At 37.2% G+C, this 23,401-nt stretch overlaps 1 long non-coding RNA gene across 2 annotated transcripts; it reads left to right on the forward strand.

The window, feature by feature from the left end:
• The first annotated feature begins 200 nt into the window (after positions 1-200).
• Positions 201-19,396, forward strand: LOC105376945 (uncharacterized). 2 transcript variants are annotated; one of them, XR_940582.3, is made up of 3 exons: positions 203-276; positions 16,651-16,711; positions 19,269-19,396. It is a non-coding gene; the product is annotated as an uncharacterized LOC105376945 (long non-coding RNA). The 2 variants fall into 2 exon arrangements; XR_007095812.1 differs by lacking the exons at positions 16,651-16,711; positions 19,269-19,396 and adding an exon at positions 4,236-4,894 and having other exon boundaries at positions 201-276.
• Positions 19,397-23,401: the final 4,005 nt, after the last annotated feature.

Raw genomic sequence — 23,401 nt, forward strand, 5'->3', positions numbered from 1 at the left:
ATTAACTACTAGAAAGTATAATAGAAGAAAGTTAGAAAGATTGATAATAATATAAAAGAGTGGAGGACATAAAAATAATTTCTTTTAGCAAAATTAGCTTCATGGAAAGAACTTTACTCCTCTTGGATTTTTCTGGAATTAATCTGTAATTCTTACTTACATCAAATAGGATATAACTGACTCAGGGTTATGTATCTTTTAGGAAACATCCATGTCTGATTAGCATGAAGGTTATGAGGAGAACGTGATCACAGCCAAGGTAGTCTTCTCAAAAAGGTGAGTCTTCACAGATTCTAAGTTTGTTTTAAATTCACTGCTACATTTCTCTGACAATATTATGTAAGAGCATTTTTTTAAAAAAACAATGATCATGTGATCTCATTATTCAATTCCCACCTATGAGTGAGAATATGCAGTGTTTGGTTTTTTGTTCTTGTGATAGTTTACTGAGAATGATGATTTACAATTTCATCCATGTCCCTACAAAGGACATGAACTCATCATTTTTTATGGCTGCATAGTATTCCATGGTGTATATGTGCCACATTTTCTTAATCCAGTCTATCATTGTTGGACATTTGGGTTGGTTCCAAGTCTTTGCTATTGTGAATAGTGCCGCAATAAACATACGTGTGCATGTGTCTTTATAGCAGCAAGATTTATAGTCCTTTGGGTATATACCCAGTAATGGGATGGCTGGGTCAAATGGTATTTCTAGTTCTAGATCCCTGAGGAATCGCCACACTGACTTCCACAGTGGTTGAACTAGTTTACGGTCCCACCAACAGTGTAAAAGTGTTCCTATTTCTCCACATCCTCTCCAGCACCTGTTGTTTCCTGACTTTTTAATGATTGCCATTCTAACTGGTGTGAGATGGTATCTCATTGTGGTTTTGATTTGCATTTCTCTGATGGCCAGTGATGATGAGCATTTTTTCATGTGTTTTTTGGCTGCATAAATGTCTTCTTTTGAGAAGTGTCTGTTCATGTCCTTCACCCACTTTTTGATGGGGTTGTTTGTTTTTTTCTTGTAAATTTGTTTGAGTTCATTGTAGATTCTGGATATTAGCCCTTTGTTGAGATCACATGGACACAGGAAGGGGAATATCACACTCTGGGGACTGTGGTGGGGTGGGGGGAGGGGGGAGGGATAGCATTGGGAGATATACCTAATGCTAGATGACGAGTTAGTGGGTGCAGCGCACCAGCATGGCACATGTATACATATGTAACTAACCTGCACAATGTGCACATGTACCCTAAAACTTAAAGTACAATAAAAAACAGAAAAAAAAAAAAAAAAAACAATGATCAATTTAAGAAAAAAAAAAAAGCAATTTTGGGAGCTTGGACATGAAACATTCTATTCCTCTAATACCAGAATATGAGAAAACAATTTGCTTTCTTTGCTCTCAGATAATGAAAAAATATATTTGGGGAGAAAAAAGTAAAATGGGTTGTTTGGTACCATGATGATAGAACTGTTGATTTGCTAAATATTTGATTCTTTAAAATACGCCTTAGTGCTCTCAAAAAGGTGGAGTCTGGTTTATTAGGGACATGTTATGCATTTCACAAGAAAACAGAACTCTTCCAATAAAACGTCTCCTGAGATCAGATGTCATTGTTCTTATTAAATGTACTGGCCCAATGTATCAGCCGTGAGCTTTAAAAAATTAGAAAATGAAGGCCAGGAGCAGTGGCTCACGCCTGTAATCCCAGCACTTTGGGAGGCCGAGACAGCGGATCACTTGAGGTCAAGAGTTCAAGATCAGCCTGGCCAACATGGTGAAACCCAGCCTCTACTGAAAATACAAAAATTAGCCAGGTGTGGTGGTGGACGCCTGAAGTCCCAGCTACTTGGAAGGCCGAGGCAGGATAATTGCTTGAACCTGGGAGGCGGAGGTTGCAGTGAGCTGAGACCACACCACTGCACTCCAGCCTGGGCAACAGAGTGAGACTTTTGTCTCAAAATAAATAAATAAATAAGCAGAAAATAAAGACATTTTGAGGGTGCACATTAGAGAGTTTCTATTTGTCAGAACTGCCCATAGATCATTTTAATAGGTAAAACCAAGGCAAGTACTACACATATTTGTTCACTGCAATTTCTGCAGAATCAGTGGAATACATATTGCTTTCTCTATGAAGAGACAAACATGGTTTTCCTCTCCAATACCTTCATTTCCTTTTCTTAGTTTTCATATTTGAATGAGTGTGTATGTGTATGTGTAAAAAAATGATGTATACACTCCCACTCATATTGGAAAGAATAGAATACAGATTCCTTATTTCTCCATAAACGAATCTCAGAAAAACTTAAATTTCCTATAAACTCATTGTAGGGGAGAATGGATTTGTAGGAACCCATCTCAAAGGGTGTCCCATCATTCCCCTTCCCAATGCAGGTCTACTTTAGGTGCGTAGAGATACCTATCTATCTCCATTGATTTGGGAAAATGGCCCCCAGTCTACCTGCTCTGCTCTTGCTTGGTTCAGATAAATTCCAGAAGAGTAATGGCTCAGCTGAACTCTGAGCTGTGGTTTCACATCTTGCCTTATATGTTGCTGAATCTTGAGGCTCGTGGACTTATCACTCATGGACTATTCATAGTATAGCGGTTCTCTTTCCCCAGTAACTTGACTCCATTGTTACTTCAGAACTTCTCAGTCTCAGAAATGCCACCCTTCAGGCCCTAACATAGACCATCCATGTTAAGGCATCCGTACCAACTCTACCTATTCCCTCACCATAATGGCTCCAGCCCCTCCACAAGTTTGGCCCTCATGCCTCAGCTCTTCCTCTGGAGGCATCTCAGTACTTCTGGACCCCTCTCCCACTCTGTGTAGGCTTGATGCCTCTCGTGACTACTCTCTTCTTAGACAAAGCAATCTGATCTCTCGCTCCCCAAATGCAAATGCCTGTTAGCAATTCCTTTTCAGAGGGAATAACTTTCAGGGTATTTAGCAGAAAAAATGCATCACAACATGATTTTTAAAAGCAGACCTCAGAAACAACGCAAATAAAACTTTCTAAGTACCTTTTTAGAAAGAACAGAATTTTTAAAAAATTATCTATAAGTGATTGAAAGGCCACTAACTAAAGCATACCTGATACATATTTTTTGATCCAACACTGGCATTTATCTTATTAGGTACAAAATTCTTTGGAATATTGAGATTCTGATATTGCTGTTGACATAGTCAGGATATGAAAACTGTTTTTGCCATGGGGAAAAACAAGTCACTTTGAAGTCAACTTGAAACTGAACAGTGATTGCATTATTCTGGGCTGAATGTACCCTATTTTTACCTGGGGTGATAAATTTCATGGCCAAGTTGTCACGGTAGAATGAGTAAAAAGAAAGAAATGGACTTACCAGAAAGAAGAGGTACCCGGGGGAAGTATTTTTAAAATAGATTTTTGGTATCATATATCATGCTTAAATTGGATAGAATGGAAGTATTCTATTCAACATGATTAGTCTAATTGATCAATTAATAAGAAAAATCATTTAAGTCATATAAATCATGAAATGTTTTATAAAGATACACTATTTAAGCTGTCGTTCATTTTCCAATATTTTGAAGTAGGACTAAATTTATTTCAATGAGTTTGCTGATTAAAGAGCTATGTTCCTTTCCTTGTATAAACTATACTCATAATGTATTGTCATTTATTTCCCCGTTGTTTTTTTTTAAGTGAAATGAGAACTCAGACATATTTGTGAAACAATGCAAGATTACAGTCCTCAGAGATCTTTATTCTCACTCCCAATCTTTTTTATTCTTCTTTTTCTGCACATAATTCAAGAATATTTTTTGTAACTTGCCTTTATTAGTATTTTGAAACCATTAAACATAGTTTTCATAGGAACCGCTCTCTTTCCATGCTCATATTCCATTAGCTTATATAAATAATGAAGGAAGTAATAAAAAGTACACTTAGAAAAAAAACAGATCTGGGAAGAAAAATGATTCTTGATAAGTATACAGCTTATCTGGGGGTAGCAGAAATGTGAGAATACTAGAATATAATTAAGTAGCCTTGGGCATTCCTTAGATGATCAACATAGTGTTATGTTTTATAATGAAAAGTATAATTCTTAGTTAATCCAATGGGTTATTTAAGTGGGGACCAGTTAAAAGAGATTCTACTGTATTTACACACTTATTTTTGTCATAGTAATTACTATCATGAATATATCGCATATTTCTTTCCTGTTTTCTTTCAGCGCAACTAGATTCATCAGCTTTTGGAGCACCTTCTTGTGGGCACATACTCTGCTATGTATTGAGAATATCATGTTGAATAAGGTCTGGTCCCTGAATGCAAAAAGGGTCCAAAAAGGGATAACACACACCATCAATATTTTCTATGCTTAGAATTCCATAAAGACAAAAATTTAAAATATATGGCTTCAACTATTAGAAATAGTTCCCTATCTCACTTACTTTTATATATTTTTTTGCAGTATTTTATGTAATATTTTCTGCATAATTTTGACCAAGTTTTAAAACCATAAAAATAGCTGGATAAAATGTGTGCCCTTATCACTGATTGTCAATCTATATCAGTTACAATTTTTTCTTATTGTTCTTCACTCCAGTGTGAAGAGTTAAGTTGAAATATCTCTCAATCCCCTGAGATTTCTGATTCATATATGTGGCTCTGAAATACTGTGATAACTTTACACCAGCAGAGCGTCCAATGCTATTGCAGATGGTTTTCACTTATGAACTACTGTATGCAACATGCCTTATTCATAACCTCTCCATTAACATGGAAAATGAGTAGATAGGTGACATTATCTGACCTTACAGCATTTCTGGTCAATATTAGGCCAGTATTATTTTCTGACTTTCCTTAATTTTTTCAAAATTTATGACAAACCAAAAATGAAATAATTATTTAGTGGTTAAAATGGTCCAAATATTTTTTAAAGAAGACTGTATTCTTAAGTCTTTGAAACTAGGACAAATTTTATTTGAAGTTTCAAAATTATAAAAGCTTTCAGTATTATACATTTCTTCAGTGGTTCCCTTAACAATAAATTTATGATGTTTTTCAGTCACTTTTTAAGCTCTTTTTAGTTTCAATTAAGACTTGGTAGAACATATTTTTTAACTCATATATGGAGAATGTAAACTTTAAATAGAGATGTAAATCACTTTCTTTAGAATTTTTTTTCTACTTATCTTTAGCATGTTTTATTCATTTTAAAATGTCTACCCCAATGCCTGACACTAATTTGGCACTCAGAAAAGTTTATTAAATTTATATATTTGTACTGAAATACCATAACTTCATAGGCAAAGCTTCTCTTGTTTTAAATAATTTTTAACATTTTTTTTATTTTTTAAAAAAAGATAACAGAAAAATTAAAAAAAAGAAGTGTAACGCTAATAGTGAGCTCTAGAGCAATTATCCAGTCCACCTTCTCCAATTTTCAGATGAAACTGAGAGCTGAATAAATTAAGTGATTTGACCAATGGCAAATTAATCTGACTTCAAACTCTTAAATGAATTACTAATCCATGTAGCTTATTTGGTTCTAAATTTTGATTTAACCAACAAGAATTAGAACTGAGCAATTATAAAGGCACTATAATAAGTGCTGCTCTAAAAAAAAAAGAAAGAAAGAAGGAGGCCAGGCACAGTTGCTTATGCCTATAATCCCAGCACTTTGGGAGGCCGAGGCAGGTAGATTACTTGAACCCAGGAGTTTGAGACCAGCCTGGGCAACATGGTGAAACCCTGTTTCTAAAAAAAAATCAGAAAAGAGTAGCCAGGCATGGTGGTGCATGCCTGTAGTCCCAGCTACTCAGGAGGTAGAGAGGGGAGGATTGCTTAAGCCCAGGAGGTTGAGGCTGCAGTGAGCAGTGATTATGGCACTACACTCCAGCCTGGGCGACAGAGAGAAGAAGCAGGAGGAGAAGAAGGAGGATGAGAAGAAGAGGGAGAGGGAGGGGAGGGGGAGGAGGAGGGAGAGGGGAGCGGAGGGGAGGCGAAGGAGTGAGGGAGAGAAAGTTTCCTACCCAGGAAACTTTGAGTAGTATTTGGAAAGGACTAAAATTTGATTCTCAAGATCAAGACTGGAGTCTGGGCTGGAAATACTGGTTTGAGTCATTAGCATCCAATCATTATAACTAAAAAACATGTAGTGAATGAAATCACACAAAGAAAGGGAATAAAACAAAAGAAATAATAGAACTAAGGATAGAGTCCTGATGGAATCATGCTCTTGGTGGAGACGTGTATGAGTTCACTTTCTGTTATTTATAAAAGAATACCAAAAACTAGGTAATTTATAAAGCAAAGAGACTTATTCTTACAATTATGGAGGCTAAGCCCAGGTTGAGGGCTGGATCTGTGAGAGCCTTCTTACTGGTGTAGACTCTCCAAGGAGTCCTGAGGTGATGCAGGCTATCAGGTGAGCGGGCTTGGCAGACTCACACACTAGCTCAGATCTCTTCTTCTTCTTATAAAGCCATTAGTTCCCCTCCCATGACAATGCATTAATCCATTACTCTATGAAGGGATTAATCAATTCATGAGGGCAGAGTCCTCATGATCCAGTTACTTTTCATAATCCCATCTCTCAATACTTGCGCATTGGGATTAAGTTTCAACAGGAGTTTTGAAGGGGACATTCAAATCATAGCAAGACATATAGGATGAAAATCAAGAAATGTATATTTTTTAAATCTTGACGGGGGGCACAAGATAATCAAGTAATGAGTAATGGATGGTTTTATATACACTACAGAGACCCAGTTAGAGTGGAGAATTAAAAGACATTATTTAAATAAAAAATTCAGAATCACTGGAGATTCTTGCAAAAGTGCTTTTGCTACTAAGGGAGTAGCATATTAAAGGGTCAAAGTGCAGATTCAAAAGATTTTGAAAAAAATAAAAGAGAAGGGAAGGAAGATAAAAATCAAAGACCAATATTTTCCAGTTTTTCCTGCTACCTTCACAGGTGCTAATAGCTATTACTTGAAAAACTATACAGGAAAATGTTGGGACATAGTCCCACAGTGAAATAACTTGGGAAGACAATTTAACATTATTTTTACTGCAAGACTTCTCAGAAAATTTGTTTGGCAAGTAAGAACAAAAAATATCCACAAGAGTGTGTAATTGGTCATCTAGTTTTTAATAAATGAACATATTTGGGGATTAATATTCTACAATAGTTACTTGGGAAATTTTGTTTTGAAAGTTTAAGAAAGCCAAGGTATTTGACACTACACAGAAAGAAAGGAAAGGAAAGAAAAAAGAAGGAGATCAGTCATGGTGGCTAACACCTGTAATCCCAGCACTTTGGGAGGCCTCAGTGGGTGGATCTCTTGAGCTCTTGATGTCAGGAGTTTGAGACTAGCCTGGCCAACATGGTGAAACCCCATCTCTGCTAAAAATACAAAAATTAGCCAGGTATGGTGGCACATGCCTGTAATCCCAGCTACTCGGGAGGCCGAGGCACAAGAATTGCTTGAACCTAGGAGGCAGCAGAGGTTGCAGTGAGTTGAGATTGCACCACTGCACGTCAGCCTAGGTGACAGAGCAAGACTCTGTCTCAAAACAAACAAAAGAAAGAAAGAAAGAAGAAAGAAAGAAAGAAAGAAAGAAAGAAAGAAAGAAAGAAGAAATAATTTGATAGCTTGAAGAAAAACTTTGTATGAGTTGAGGCGTGAATTCTTTCTAGCACTGAATAGGTTTAACCAGATTCGAAGTATTAACATTTCAATAGTTTTGTAGGGGAGGAAAACGAATATTTTCCTTATACACTTCTAGGATCTCAGTTGAGGCCTATAAGAAAAGACAGATTAACTAAAAAAAAAACAAAAACAAACAAACAAACAAAAAAAGCATTTTATTTTCTTTTTTTTTAAGTTTTGAAATGGAGTCTCTTTCTGTCTCCCAGGCTGGAGTACAGAGGTACAATCTCAGCTTATTGCAACCTCTGCCTCCCAGGCTCAAACAATCCTCTTACCTCAGCCTCCCAAGTATCTGAGACAACAGATATGCACCACCACACCCAACTAACTTTTGTATTTTTTGTAGAGATGGGGTTTCACCATGTTGCCCAGGCTGGTCTTGAACTCCTGGGATCAAGTGATCCACCCACCTTGGCTTCCCCAAGTGCTGGAATTACAGGCGTGCACCACCACACCTGGTGCATTTGCTCACTATAAGTCTAATGTGACATGGGATACTCCAAAATGAAATGAAGATCCCAAAGAAAAAATGGTTAAACCTGACTATTTTTATACTAGGTTTGATGAAGAGTACAAAGTTATGAAAAAATATGGTAGGATTAGGAGGTATGAGATAAGACTGGTAAACTGGGGTTGACTTATCAAGGCTTGTTCATTTAGATACCTCTCATCCTCTCTCTCTTCATCTTCAGAGATAAGGATGCTGCTTTCTCCCAGGTACAGGAAGGGCACCTCTCATACAAAAGTCTTATGATTTCTTCAGGGAAAAGTCAGAGTCATTCCCACACTTACTCTTTCTCAAATTCTTTCAGCTTAAAACATTCAATATATCAAGGCACCATATTTTGGGGTAGTATGTTCTGAACCCTATGATATCTCCATCTGAAACTTTTCCCCAAAGCTTTTACAGCCCAGAAAGTGAGCTGGCAGATTGTCCCATACGTCACTGAACCAGTCTCTCAGTCCTGGGATTAGATTCCTCTGCTTAAAGAGCTGTGTCTTATTTCTGGACTCAGTAGTATAGGCAGAAGTAGGTTGCCTACCCAAGTTAAACCTCCATGAGGTGTGAGCAATAAGGCATTTAAGTAGGGGTATTTCTATGAAAACACAAATAAAAAAAGGTTAATTGTTAAAACAAGCTATAAACTCAGTTTTTGAATCCAGAATGCAATTTAAAAATTTCTAGATATTGAGCTGAAAGTATCCTGAGATGGTGGAGTGACAGTAACAGTGGACATCCAACATATTTTTGGGTTTGCAGTTTGAATGCCTCTAGTGATGGCACTGTGTCTTAGCCTGTTTGTGTTGCTGTAAAAGAATACCTGAAGCTGGATAACTTACAAAGAAAGAAGGCTTATTTGGCTCACAGTTCTGTAGGCTGTACAAGAAGCATGGCACCAGCATCTGCTTTTAGTGAAGGCTTCAGGGAACTTCCGCCCATTGGAAGGCAAAGGACAGCAGGCATGTCAAATGACAAGAGAGAAGGAAAAGAGAGAGGGGAAGAAGGTGCCATGCTCTTTTAAATAATAAGTTCTTATGGGAACAAATAGAGCAAGAGCTTGCTCATTACCACAAGAACAGCAGCAAACCATCCATGAGGGGTCTGCCCACATGATGCAAACACCTTCCATTAAGTCCCACCTCCAACATTGTGGATGAAATTTCAACATGAGATTTGGAGGGTAGAAATCTCCAAACTGTACCACACCATTATGTTTATTCTCAGAACAAAGTATGGAAGTGCCCAGTTTCAGCTTGCAAGGCTTCTTTAGGTATTCCAAATAAGGATGTGAGCAATCAGGCTTTAGCTCTCAGAGGTGCCAAATCAGGGGGGTAAAAGAAAAATGTAAAATGTGGAAGAGTTGTAACCACATTTTCAAGGAAGCGAACTAATTGAGCAGGATCCATCCAGTTTACAGTAGATAACAAAACTTCAAATCCAATGAACAGGGGGAATGGAATTGTATAATTCAGATGATGTGACATTGTTTGCCATTGAAACATAATTTTTGTCTCTATAGTCACCTCCATTTCTATCAAAGATAATCAAAGTAGGACTAATTCGTTTGCAAACTAAGTCTTTTTTTGTTTATACTTTAAGTATAATAAGCCACATGAACTTGAAAAGCATTTGGGTTAGTTTTTATATTTCTGAGACTTTTAGGAGTACTAAATGTGGAGTCCTGAGAAGATAAGTAAGCAGCAACCAGGAAGAGGTCCCAGATGGAGGAGAACAATTGTTCTGAGAAACGGCTAATCACACACAACCCACTGGTATGACATCCTATTCCCAAATACCTCATTCTGCACACAGCCCCAGCAGCAAGACCTTATCTGCATACTTTATCTGCATATAGACCCTCCAGTACAACCTACCTAGTACTTCCCTTCAGTCCCTGCCTCTTGGCAGACAGCCCTTTCTCTGCTGTGCTGCCCATTGCACTCTTGCAACGTATCTCCTGTCTTTTCTAATAAATCTGCCTTTCTTCGCCCATGACTGTCTTGGTAAATTATTTTACTGCCCATGACACCAGTCCCAACCAGATGTACCTGTGACAATTTATATAAGTGTGCATTTATCTCAAAGCCAATTTGAATATAATTTCTTTTGAAAATTTTATAAATGACTATGGTAGAAATTAATTAATTTCTAAAATTAATTTTCAACCATTCAGGGATAGAAAGTATTACACATAACATACATACACTCATAAATATACAGACAGATGCCAATAGAGATTTTATAGCTTTCATTGTAAATTTTAGCCATAAATGAGGTATAGATACAGAAACACAAAATTTGCTTATTTATATAAGAGTTGATTCTCATCTTTGTCTTATTACATTTCTAGCAGTTGGAGCAAATAAGTCAAGATTACTTGCTCAATGGAAGCTAAAGCTTTTTTAGCAATATTTGTGAAAAAGACTTTTAAGAATTTCATATGAGCTTGATAAGTAATTTTATGGAAGCTGTGGACTACATTTGGGGTGAGGGATGCTGTGAAAATATCAACTAGCAGTTTATTTCCAAAATGTCTCCCTTGTTTCTCCATCTGAGTTGAATGCAAGAGTTACCTTTTTGAAAGTTTGCATTTCCAAAGAGATGGTAAGATTTATATCTCCAAGTGAAAGAGAAATGATGTAGGTTTTCTCCAAGAAGGAATTAAGAAACATATTTGCTTATTATAGTGTCAGAAATCTAGGGTAATTATAATATAAGATTTTTCTGGCTCACGCCTGTAATCCCAGCACTTTGGGAGGCCGAGGCAGGCGGATCACAAGGTCAGGAGATCAAAACCATCCTGGCTAACACAGTGAAACCCCGTCTCTACTAAAAATACAAAAACATTAGCCGGGCATGGTGGCGGGCGCCTGTAGTCCCAGCTACTCGGGAGGCTGAGGCAGGAGAATGGCGGGAACCTGGGAGGCGGAGCTTGCAGTGAGCCGAGATCGCGCCACTGCACTCCAACCTGGGGAACAAAGCAAGACTCTGTCTCAGAAAAAAAAAAAAGATTTTTCCCCTCATTAAGTACATTTTTATGATTGGGGTCCAAAATACATTTACAAAGTAATTTGAATGGGAAGGCCTAGAGCTGAAAAAGTTTGATTATAGAGTCTCATGAAATAAGTGGACTTTATAAGGGACTGTAAAACAGCCTTGCTGGGTTCCCTGGGGCCTTTTTCAAAGCTATTTGCTGGCTATCCCTTTTAACCTAAGTCTCAGCCTTTCTGAGTGCCTTTTGCAATTCATAACTTTTGTTCTAAGTCTGAGCTCTACCTCCTAATCTTTTTAAGGGAGTTTTTTGGTGTTTTCATGTGTTTTTCTCAGACCAGTTAAGAAATTGTTTCTTTTTCATTTTTCCTTTCTTTCAATTTGATATTTCTATAGACACTTAAGGGACATTTGTTTAGAATGGGAGCCCTCAAGAAAGAAAAATCCTTTGGATGTACAAGTCCAAATCTTCAAAGTATACCTATTCCAATTGTGAATCAAATTCAAGCCCAATTAACCCTTTAAAGAATGTTTACCTTTTGCCAACTTTGTTAAAGTTTCCAGATTTCTTTTCTTTTCTTTTCTTTTTGAGTTTTGCTCTGTGTCACCCAGGCTGGAGTGCAGTGGTGTGATCTCTGCTCACTGCAGCCTCTGCCTCCTGGGTTCAAGTGATTCTCCTGTCTTAGCCTTCCGAGTAGCTTGGACTACAGGCATGTACCCCACACCCAGCTAATTTTGTGTTTTTAGTAGAGCTGGGGTTTCACCATGTTGGTCAAGCTGTTCTTGAACTCCTGACCTCAGGTGATCCTCCTGCCTCCACCTCCCAAAGTGCTGGGATTGTAGGTGTGAGCCACGGCGCCTGGGCAAGTTTCCAGATTTCAGCTGCAGCTTCTGGACTGAGAAAGATGTCCTGGACAATGGTATCTCATCCTTATTACCAGAAACTGTAGGGAGAAAAAATATTTTCCTTCAACCCTTCTCGGTTCTCTTCTGGGAACTGTAATAAAAGATGAGTTAATGAAAAAAAAGGGTACAAATTTATTTAATATAGGTTTTATGTAGCACTGGAGCTTCATAAAGAAATGAAGACCCAAATAAACAGCTAAACCTGAATGTTTTTATACTAGGTTTGAAAAACAAAGTAGTAAAACCACCTTTTCACAAATTATATCAGTGAGAAAATTATGGCAATGGGGGAGATCTGATCTGGTCAATCCTCATCTTGCCTTTGGCCTTCAAAATACCCTTAATTATTTCTGAGATTAAGCCAAGCAAACTAATGAGAGACATTTAGTTTGTAGTATAAATGATAACAGCCGTTCCCCAAAACTTAACTGCCTTTGTAAAGCTAATGAGAGACCTCCAGGCTAGGTGAATAGAGGAGCCTGAATTCCGCTGAGGTATAGACATAAACAATTGCTAGTCATTATTTTGTAGGTCACAAGATAGGCAATTTCCCTAATTACTCAAGCAGATAACATTACTATTGTAGAATTTAAGATTGGCCTTTTGAAACAGCTTTTCAGGTTTTTTTTTTTTTTTTTTTTTTGCAAATCCTTCTACCAATCGCTCCACCTGCACCTGCCAACTGCTCCTAAGTGGCCCACTCCAGAAGCCACTCAATGCACAAGAAGACCACTTCCCACCTGCACCCCTGCCCCTTCCCCCAAACTACCTTTGAAACCTAGCCTCCAAATGGTTGGAGAGGCTGATTTGAGTAATAATAAAACTCCAGCCTTCTATTTGGTCTACTCAATGTGTGCAAAATTCTTTCTCTGTTGGAATTCTCCTGCCTTGATAAATTGGCTCTATCTGGGCAATGGGCAATGAAAAACCCTTTGGGCAGTTACAGTAGAAAGCCATGAAAAAATGTGATTGGACAAAGTTGTAGGAGCCATGAGTCGTGAGCTAGGGGAACAGCCTCTGTCTTAAAGATAAGGAGGACACTTCTCAAATGAGGGTCTTCCAACTTGCTCCATGGGAAGGTGAAAAGGTCCTTACTGCACCTCTTGTTTCTCAAATTCCTTCAGCTTCAAACATTCAATATGCCAAAGCACCATATTTTGGGTGAAGCATGTTCTGAACCCTATCAATTTTAACTCAGTCTAAATAAAGCACTTCTGAAGCCATGCATACAGTCAAATACTGTCAGGGCCATGCCACAGAATTTCTATTGATTTTCATTTTCCTCACCAAAACATCAAGGAAAGATGCAACAAAGGGAAAATCTAACAGGCAGTCTTAAGTTAGATGTAATTGCTAAGGCTGATTAAGAGAAGAGAAAACATGGAGAAAAAAAATCTTAGTAAATACTCTTGCCAGTTTTATACTGTTGCTCATTTTCTGGCATTCCAAAATCTCTTTTGCAGATTTTTGTGTAAACATTGTTAAAAGGATCCATTGGTTAACAAAGAAAATTTTGTTTTGTAATTTTAATTTTGTTTTATTATTTTAGAATTTAGAAGTATTTTGTTTTATTTGCTAAACATATTTTTTCCTGTATCAAGTGATTGCTGCTGGGAAAGATCTTCCATCTCTTTTCCCTGTCTCTGGAACATGGTTTTCTCTGTGGCTTGGCATATTAGAACTGTCCCTTTTAGGCAAACCTTGAATAAGCCTTCTCCTCAAATAATTTGACAGAAACAAAATGGTGTTGTCACCTAAAATCTCACCTGTACTATATTGACTGTGCGTGAGACTGTAGGTCTCAGAATCATTTCTGAAGAAGCCCCTATGTATTTACCTCAGAAATGTAACCATATTATGGTATCTAAGATCATTTAGTTAGTTTATTAGGTAAGCCTTAGTTCTCAATAGAGAACAAAGTGTTATTGATAGAGACAGGAGGCAGGAAAATTCTGGGCAGAAGAGGGCAGTTCCCTGGTGAGGACGCCATGCTCAAGTCTGGAACCGCAGCCCAAAGTGAGAACAGGCATTCTTGTTTTCCTGCTTGAACGCTGACTTTTCTAAAACCACCCGTGGCCCACCCCACCCCCAAGCCTGTAACCGTAAAATCCCCAGGCTCCACCAGCAAAGAAAGAGAGGCAGAGAAGAGGAGAAGCTGCTAGACGTCAGAAACTACAGTTTGACGTCAGAGACAAGCAGCTTGACTTCAGAGGGTTGGCTTGCCGGTGTTGCTTTGGAGAGGAGTCCAGCCGCGGACAGCTGGATGCTGGGAGAAGATCACCTTCCTTCTTCCTTCCCTCTCCAGCTCCCCTTCCCGCTGAGAGTCATTTTCATCAGCAATAAAATCTTCCACATTGACAACCCTTCAATTCTTTTGTGTGACCTTATTTTTTCCTGGACACCCAATAAGAGCTCAGTGTCACAGGTATGGACACTAAAGGCTGTTATCCTGACCCTCTGCCCTCACTGGTGGAGAACCACCACCTCACGTGAAAAGCCAGAGGGCCCACTGAGTTGTCTAACACCTAAGCTGTTGTGGATGGCAAAACTAAAAGAGCACTGTAACACATGCCCTCTGGGGGCTTTGAGGATTGTGGATACTCCCTGCTAGACACTGCCACAGGCCTTACATGGAATTTTTGCACCTGCCGTGCCCAAAGGCACTTGCCCTGGATCCTGCACCCTCTCACCTAAATGCTCCCTCCTGCAAGGAGTTGAACACAATGGATTCAAGTAAGTGGAGTTTGACCCTGCTGGCACCAAAGCAGTGGGCTAGCCCCATTGCCCTCACTCCAGTTCCCATCTGTGAAGGAGTCAGGGGAAATTTCCTGCTTTATTAAAAAAATGGAACCTACAATGAATAAATTTTGTTTTATTCATCAAACACAGAACTCGGAAGAAAAATAGAAGTCAACGAATTCAGTGATTAACAAAATGAATTTAGAAGAATCTCCCTTTTGGTGCCATTGTTGGGAAAGAGAGACAAGCTGAATCAGTAGGGGTCCTGGCTTCTTGAATTTTTTTTTTTTCACCTTTGTGTTTCTGTAGGTTTCTTTTTACATTTTGTTTTTCTTTATTACATGAAAAAGTACTTAAAATAATGATTTAATCTAAATATTTTATATTAAACAAGTAGAAATCATGTTTCTAAGGAAGTAAATTATTTTACGAAGTCATAACTCTAATACAAGACATAATTGGAACTAGTACCAGGGTTTCTTGAGTTTTAGTGCACCATGTTTTTTATTTCACTTTTATATTCTGTTGAAGATCTAAGAGCTCAACTGGAATGCCATAAAGAACATGAAGGCTTGACAAAAATAGAAAAAATGAAAGAAATGAGCTATAAAGAAGGCTGAGATCATTAATGGTTATTATTTTCTACTGCATGTTGCCTTCATGTAATTATTCATCCACCTATTTGAATATATTGTGCATGTTGAATAAAGTGATGGAGATGTGATGATTTTGTTCATAATCCCTGGAGAGTTATTAATCTAGACCAGGTTTTGTCAGACTCAGCCCCAATGAAATTTGGGGCTGAATAATTTGTTGTTGTTGCTGTCCTTTGCTTCATAAAATGTTAAGCACCATCTCAGCCCTCAACCCACTAGATAACAGAAGAGATATCAGTCATGACAATCAAAAATGTCTCCACATAATGCCAGATATCCTTGGGGAGTGACATCATCTTAGCTGAGAATCACTAATCTTGATGATGTAAGATGTAAATTAGAACTGAGAGACCTGACTGAAGGTATCTGACCATATGATAATTTTCATTTATGGCCATTTGTTCCAGGGTTTTAAGGAATACAATGAGCTATTTTAGGAATTCTAAGAATTATAATTGGGACTGTAAGAAGTGAGGAAAGTGTGGGTTCATAGTTTAATGCAAAGAGGTAAAGCAGGCTGAATGTGAGTTGACTATATGCCTAGTCGGTGTGATGAGTCAAGAAAAATGTTTAGTACTGTAATTTAATAGAACTCAGCTCTTGCTAATTTCTATATGTGACCCTAGAAATGTTGGGCAGAAAATAATTAAATATTTATCTTTGATGGTTTGGCAAGACATGTTTTATAGTGAAAAATGGAAAACCTCATGAAGAAAGGACTATTTTACAGAACACTGTAGCATTCTATGTAGCTTCTGTCTCAAGCCTATTCCTTTACTACCTAAAACTAGAGAAATTCATGAATCAGTTTCCCATTGTTATAATAAAAATGTTATTTTTTGGCTTATTTATTTATTTTTAGTCACATTTTACTTTATATTGAGTAAACACCTGCTATTTTCAGTGTGGAATTGCTCCTCTATCATGAGCATAGTTGTGGTGAGTGTCTCAACCACAATGGCTGATCACTTCCTGAAAGAAAACATGGCTCAATTTTGTCCAATCAGATTATGTTTATGATATTTTTAATATTTGTTCTATGGACATTGGCATAGAGTTCTCTATTACTTTGTATTTTAACCTTTAAGGATTCCGTAAGGCAGATGGTAGTATGCTTGTCTGTCTTGTGTGCAGGTGCAGAGAGCCTGGCCACACAGCAAGAAGGAATAAAGTGAACAAGCAAAGAAATGCAAAGGTAAGAGGACTCTGAAAGAAAAAAAGTCTCGTGACTTTTTCAAGCACCTAGATCTAGCCATATCTGAAGCTAGTTTTTTCTTGCTATCTGGTAAGATGAGTCAACAAAATTCCATTTTTGCTTCATCTAGTTTGCACTAGGTTTCTATCACTTGCAGAGGAAAGAGATCTGGTGATTACAGTGAATATTCTCATTGAGCAAATGTGGACAAGAAATTAGAAATGCAAAGAGACAGCAAAGTGACAGATATACAGATAAAAGACAAACAGGTACAACAAGGAGGGGGCAGAAATCCCCTTGAATTTTAATGCAGGAATAATGAACAAATAAAGAGGGAGTGTATGGGTTATCTTGCAAGTTTGTTCTTCAAGGACAAACAAGGCATCAGAGAAAAATGACCTCATAGCAGATTGAAATAGAGACGATAATGGAGGAGGAAAATGTCCAGAATCAAACCGAAGACTTTGTCCTTCTTTTCACCTACTGTTTGCACATTCTTTTTTTTTTTTTTTTTTTTTTTTTGAGATAGAGTCTTGCTCTGTCACCAGGCTGGAGTGCAGGGACATGATCTCGGCTCACTGCAACCTCCGCCTCCCGGGTTCAAGCGATTCTCCTGCCTCAGCCTCCTGAGTAGCTGGGACTACAGGCACACACCACCATGCCCAGCTAATTTTTGTATTTTTAGCAGAGACAGGGTTTCACCATGTTGGCCAGGATGGTCTTGATTTCCTGACCTCATGATCTGCCCGCCTCAGCCTCCCAAGGTGCTTGGGATTATGGGCATGAGTTACTGTGCCCAGCCCACTCTATCTTTCTCTTAACCTCTTAGTTTTGCTTGCTTCTAAATTGGCTTCATCCTCAGGAAATGTCTTTTCATACTATGGCAAAGAAGACTATTGTCAGCCTGGGGTTAACATCATTACAAGTCATGAATGCAATGACAAGCGTTACCTCTCTTCCCTACATGAGTCTGATTGACTCTGCTGTAGTCTTAAGTCTACTTCTGAACCAATCATTGTATCTAAGAGGATGTGCTTCAGTCACGTCCATGAGCTACATCTGCATCTAGGTGCTGGAACTCAGACTGTCAGATCCAACAAGATCAGGAGAAGTAAGATGGGGAGAGTTACTCAAAGGAAAAAAGGCCATGTAACCAACATTATTTACTATTATTATTTTTTGTCTTCATTAACATTACTGCAAATGTCCTTCAATCTCCTAACAAATACTCAGTGGAACATGTATGTTGTTGGTGACATCTATGCTAACTGTCAAAGAGTAAGTATTGGTATGACCACTGTTGGGTTAGGATGAAAATCAAGAGGACACATTAGTGTAGAATTCTGTGTAACTATGTAGGTACCTTTTAACAAAATGTACAAAGGTCTAGATATGCATAAATGCCATCTATGATTTATTGAGCATTTATTATGTGCCAGTAATTGTGTTAACTAAACACTTTAATTTAATTATCTTATTTAATCCTCCCAAACGTGGTAAGGAAAATATTACTGTCCTTCCCAAATTGGAAATAATGTTCAGTAAAGTAATTTATAAAAACAAGCAAGTGGCAGAGATTGGACTGAAACACAGGAAGTGTAAAATCAAAACTTGAATATTTAATATGCTTTCCACTTAGGGTGACCTATACTTTATCTTCCTATCCTTAAATGGTTATTAACAGCATCCACTTTAAAACATGCCCAGGTTTGGACAATAATTATATGATTACCCTAATACTGCCTCTTCCATATACATATATGAATTTGCAGATGTTTTACATATGTCTATTCAAGGCAATTTTAATAAACTTTTTTTTTTTTTTTTACTTTAAGAGAAGAGCTTAGGATTTATGGAGAAGTTGCAAAGATAGCACTGAGTTCCAGTATACCCCACATCTAGATTTTTCTATTATTAACATTTTTATTAATAAATCATAATTAATGAACTAATATTGATACATTATTGTTAACTAAATTTTATATTTTATTCAAATTTTCTTGATTTTTCCCTAAGGTCCTTTTTCTGACCCAGGATCCCACCCAAACAATTACATTCCATTTAGTCATCATGTCTCAGACTCCTCTTAGCTGTGACAAATTATCAGGCTTTCCTTGTCTCTGGTGACATGAGCTCTTTTTATTTTTACTATTCTTTTTGAGACAGAGTCTCACTCTGTCACCCAGGCTGGAGTAAAGTGGTGCGGTGGTATGATTTTGGCTCACTGCTACCTCCACCTCCCGGGTTCAAGCCAGCCTCCTGCCTCAGCCCCTCAAATAGCTGGAACTACAGACGTGCATCACCACGCCTAGCTAATTTTTGTATTTTTAGCAGAGATAGTGTTTTGCCATGTTGCCCAGGCTGGTCTCAAACTCCTGGCCTCATTTGATCCACCTGCCTCAACCTCCCAAAGTGCTGGGATTATAGGCGTGAGCCACTGCACACAGCCGACATGGGCTCTTTTGAGAAGTGTTGATCAGGTATTTTATAGAGTGTCCCTCAATTTGTATTTCACTGATGTTTTTCTCATAATTAAAATAGGGTTATGGTCTTGTAGGAGGAAGACGACAGAAGTAGTGTGCCAATTTTATCACATTGTATCAAGGGTATGTACTATCGACCTGGTTTACCACTGTTTATGTTAACTTTAGTCACCTGATTGAGGTAGGTAGTATTTGTCATGTTTCTCCACTGTTACTGTTTTAAAATGGTTACTAACCTATTCGAAGTATAGTTTATATGAAGAAAATGCATACATTTTAAGTGTATGAAGACATTACTTTTGACAGATAGATTTACCTACGTAGCCACTATCCCAATCAAAACGTAGAACATTTCTATCAACCCTCTAAAGTTGTTTTAACTCCCCATAATTCAATCTTTTGATTTCATGAAGTCTCGAAAGAATCCATTTAGTTATAATTGAGTCATAAATGCCCAAACTCTGTCAGGTATATCACACATTTTGAGTTTCTCTGGAAATAAGTATTCTGGTTGTTAACTGCTTGATTCTATTGGGTTACCTTTAACAGATTGGTTGTTTCTGCATCTATTTTTCCTGACTGGATTAACTAGGAAATGCAGCTCTACCATCCCAGGGACTTTAAACTTTGTCCCATGTGTAAAAACTTGAGGGTGGGCCAGGTGCAGTGACTTATGCCTGTAATCCCAGCACTGTGGGAAGCTCAGGTGGGAGGGTTGCTTGAGGTCAGGCATTCGAGCCCAGTGTGGGCAACATAGACAGACACCATCTCTTTAAAAAATTAAAAGAAATAAAAAAAAGAAAAGAAAAATCAATTGATGATAAGCAAAAGTTTAACTCTACTCTCAAAAAAAAAAAAAGATTAACCAAAGATGTCACAGGAACCAATAGCTTACCTCATAACTGCTGAGTGTGTGACAAGATGTGAAGAAGCTGGCATGACTTTGGCAAATATGGCATAGAGCAAGCTATTTGGGATAAAATTATGGAATGTTACCTTCTAAAGAGTAAGGAAAGCAAGAGAATCAAATGGTATTTTATATTCAAAGATTTCTGAGGTGTGCTCTTTACTTCAGCCACTCAAGTAGGAGCAAGACATATATGATCCTAACTTCCTAAGTAAGACTTTGTCAATGTTGGAAAGAGATTTCTATAGCAGTTTTTATCAATGCCTTCTTGCAAGTTGTAGTTATAACATTAATCACTGTTAGATTTATGGGAAAATAATGTGTTTTACAAGAAGCAACACAAATATAAGTATAAAAGCTCATGAGGAGACATTATACAAGTTTATATTTTATCAATAGTTATAGAATCATGGCATGTAATTAGAGCTGAAATAAATGGTAAAACTCAGAGAGAAAAATTCCTTTAGTTTATAAATGAGAGAAATGTATAAGACTACAAGATTTTTTTAGCCATTTATATCAATTTTATTGAGGTATAATTTAGATAAAAATGCACATGTTAAAAATATGGGTTGATGAGTTTATAATATATAAAGTAAACGTAAAACTTTATATCATAACAACTACCACAAACAAGGTACAGAATAATTCCTATAGAGGTGTCTTATACCCTTATTTACTCAATCCACTTCTTAACCCCAGACCTGGACTGATAAGCTATTACTTAACATTAATTTTGACTTTTGTAATATTTCATATAAAAGGTGTCATATGACACATACTTTTTTGTCTGTGTTCTTTTACTTGCTATAACATTTTTGAGATTTACCTATGTTGTGTGTATCAACAGTTTGTTCCTTTCTTATAGCTGAGTAATATTCCATTGTAAGGATATAACACAATGTGTTTGTACTGTTGATGGCCATTTCGTTGTTTCCATTTTGTGGCTATTTTGAATAACATTGCTATAAGCATTCAAATGGAAACCTGTGTTGACACACATTTTTATGTCCTTGAGTAAAAGCAAAAATGTTGAGTTGCATAGCAAGTGTGTGTTTAGCCTTATAAGAAACTGATAAAAGGTTTTCTGAAGCGGTAATACCCTTTTACATTCTGACTAGTAGTATATAAAACTACCATTGCTTCCAAGTCCTGGCCAACTCTTGGGATGCTGAGTCTTTTTTTCTAGATTTTGCTATTCTAACTGGTAGTGGTATCTCTTCATGGTTTTAATTTGCTTATCCCTGATAACTAATGATGTTGAACATCTTTTTGTGTGCCTATTATCATCTGCATAGTAAACATAAACATTCTTTTTCTCTGCATGTGTGCCTGTGTGTGTATTATATAACTTAACTGTACACAATAATGAACAAATATATGTTTTGTGAAATGTTCTCCATTCCTGCTGTCCTCTCTTCTATTTTTTTCTAAGAGTCTTGAGGATGGGCCAGGTGCAGTGACTTACGCCTGTAATTCCAGCACTGTGGGAGGCCCAGGTGGGAGGATTGCTTGAGGTCAAGTATTCGAGTCCAGGATTGATATTTTTTCCTTAAATGTTTGATGAAATTTATCCAGACCTGAAATTTTCTTTGTGGAAACAATATATATATTTATAATTTTATTTATCTTATTTTAAACAGTTTTGTTGAGATCTATTTCACTTATCATAAGCCCATTCATTTAAACAGTACAATTTAATAATTTTTACTAATGTTACCAAGTTGTGAAACCATCACCATAGTTAGTTTTAGAACATTTTCATTTCCCTCATAAGATCTCTCATGCCCATTTACAGTTAATTCTAATTCCTGCCACCAGCCCCAGGCAACAGTGGGAAAAGGTTTGTCTCTTTAATGTACTTTATGATTACAAACAGTGGGTTTGTAATTAAGAGACATAAACATTTTCAGATCTGGGTTTTTTTTGGTGGTGGTTTTAGTAAATTGTGCCTTTTAATAAATTTGTTCATTTCATTTAGTTATCCATTTTTTGGACATGAAATTGCTTATATCATTTTCTTATTTATTTAGAGACAGAGCCTTGCTGTCGCCCAGGCTGGTGTGCGGTGTTGTGATCTCAGCTCACTGCAACCTCCACCTCCCAGGTTCAGGTGAACCTCCCACCTCAGCCCACCAAATAGCTGGGACTGCAGGCATGCACCACTATGCCTGGCTGATTTTTGTATTTTTAGCAGAGACGGGGTTTTGCCATGTTTCCCAGGCTGTTCTCGAACTCCTGGCCTCATTTGATCTGCTTGCCTCAGCCCCCTCAAAGTGCTGAGAGTACAGGCATGAGCCACCACACCCGCCTTCTTATCTTTTTAATAAGTATAGGGTCTAGAGTGATGTCCACTCATTTTATATCGGTCATTTCTGTCTTCTCTCTTTTCTTAATATGTCCAGCTATACATTGTCACTTTTACTAGTCTTTTCAAATAACAGCTTTGGTATTATTGATTTTTTTCTCAATTTTTACACGTTTTCTCTTATTGAGTTATGCTTTTTATTATTTATTTTTCCTACTTTGGGTTAAATTCATTATATTTTTCTAGTTCTTAATGCACAGGTTAGATCATTAAATTTAAATATGTTTTTCTAATATAAGGATTGAAGCTTTCAATATCTTCCCAAGACCTACATTAGACTACACACTACAAATTTCAACAGGTTGCTTTTGTTGTCAGTCATTTCAAATATTTCCTAGTATTTTTTTAATAAATAAATTTTTTGTTTAAACGGTATGTTATTTGAAAGTGTACTGTTTAATGTTTAAATGCAAGGTGATTTTCAGACATTTCGTTATTTTTAATTTAATGTTCTCATGTCAAAATAAGTTCAATATATTTTAATGTATTCAGACTTATTTTATGGAATACTATGGAGTCTATTTTGATCAGTGCTCCATGTGTCTTCAAGTTCTTTGATGTTTTCTTTTGCAGTGTGCAACTGCTATTACATACAGGCAATGAATTTCAGATATTTTATTTCCCATATTGTATTTTTCAGCTCTAGACATTCTAATTGGTTCTTTTTTGTGTTTTCCACTTTTCTCCCCATTATGCTCATGTTTTCCTCAAATTCTTGAGAATATTTACATTAGCCGTTTATATTAGTTTTAGTGGCTTAAAACAACAGTCATTTATCTTACCGTTCTGTAGGTTGAACTACAGAGTGAAATCTCTCTCATGCTTCGAATTTCTCTGACTTCCTCTTTTGCAACCAACCAAAGGAAAGCCTCTACATTTAAAGGATTCATGTGATTAGGTTAGGCTTATCTGGATAATCTCTCTATCTAAGT

Source organism: Homo sapiens, chromosome 3, assembly GCF_000001405.40.
Source record: "Homo sapiens chromosome 3, GRCh38.p14 Primary Assembly".
NCBI lineage: Eukaryota > Metazoa > Chordata > Mammalia > Primates > Hominidae > Homo > Homo sapiens.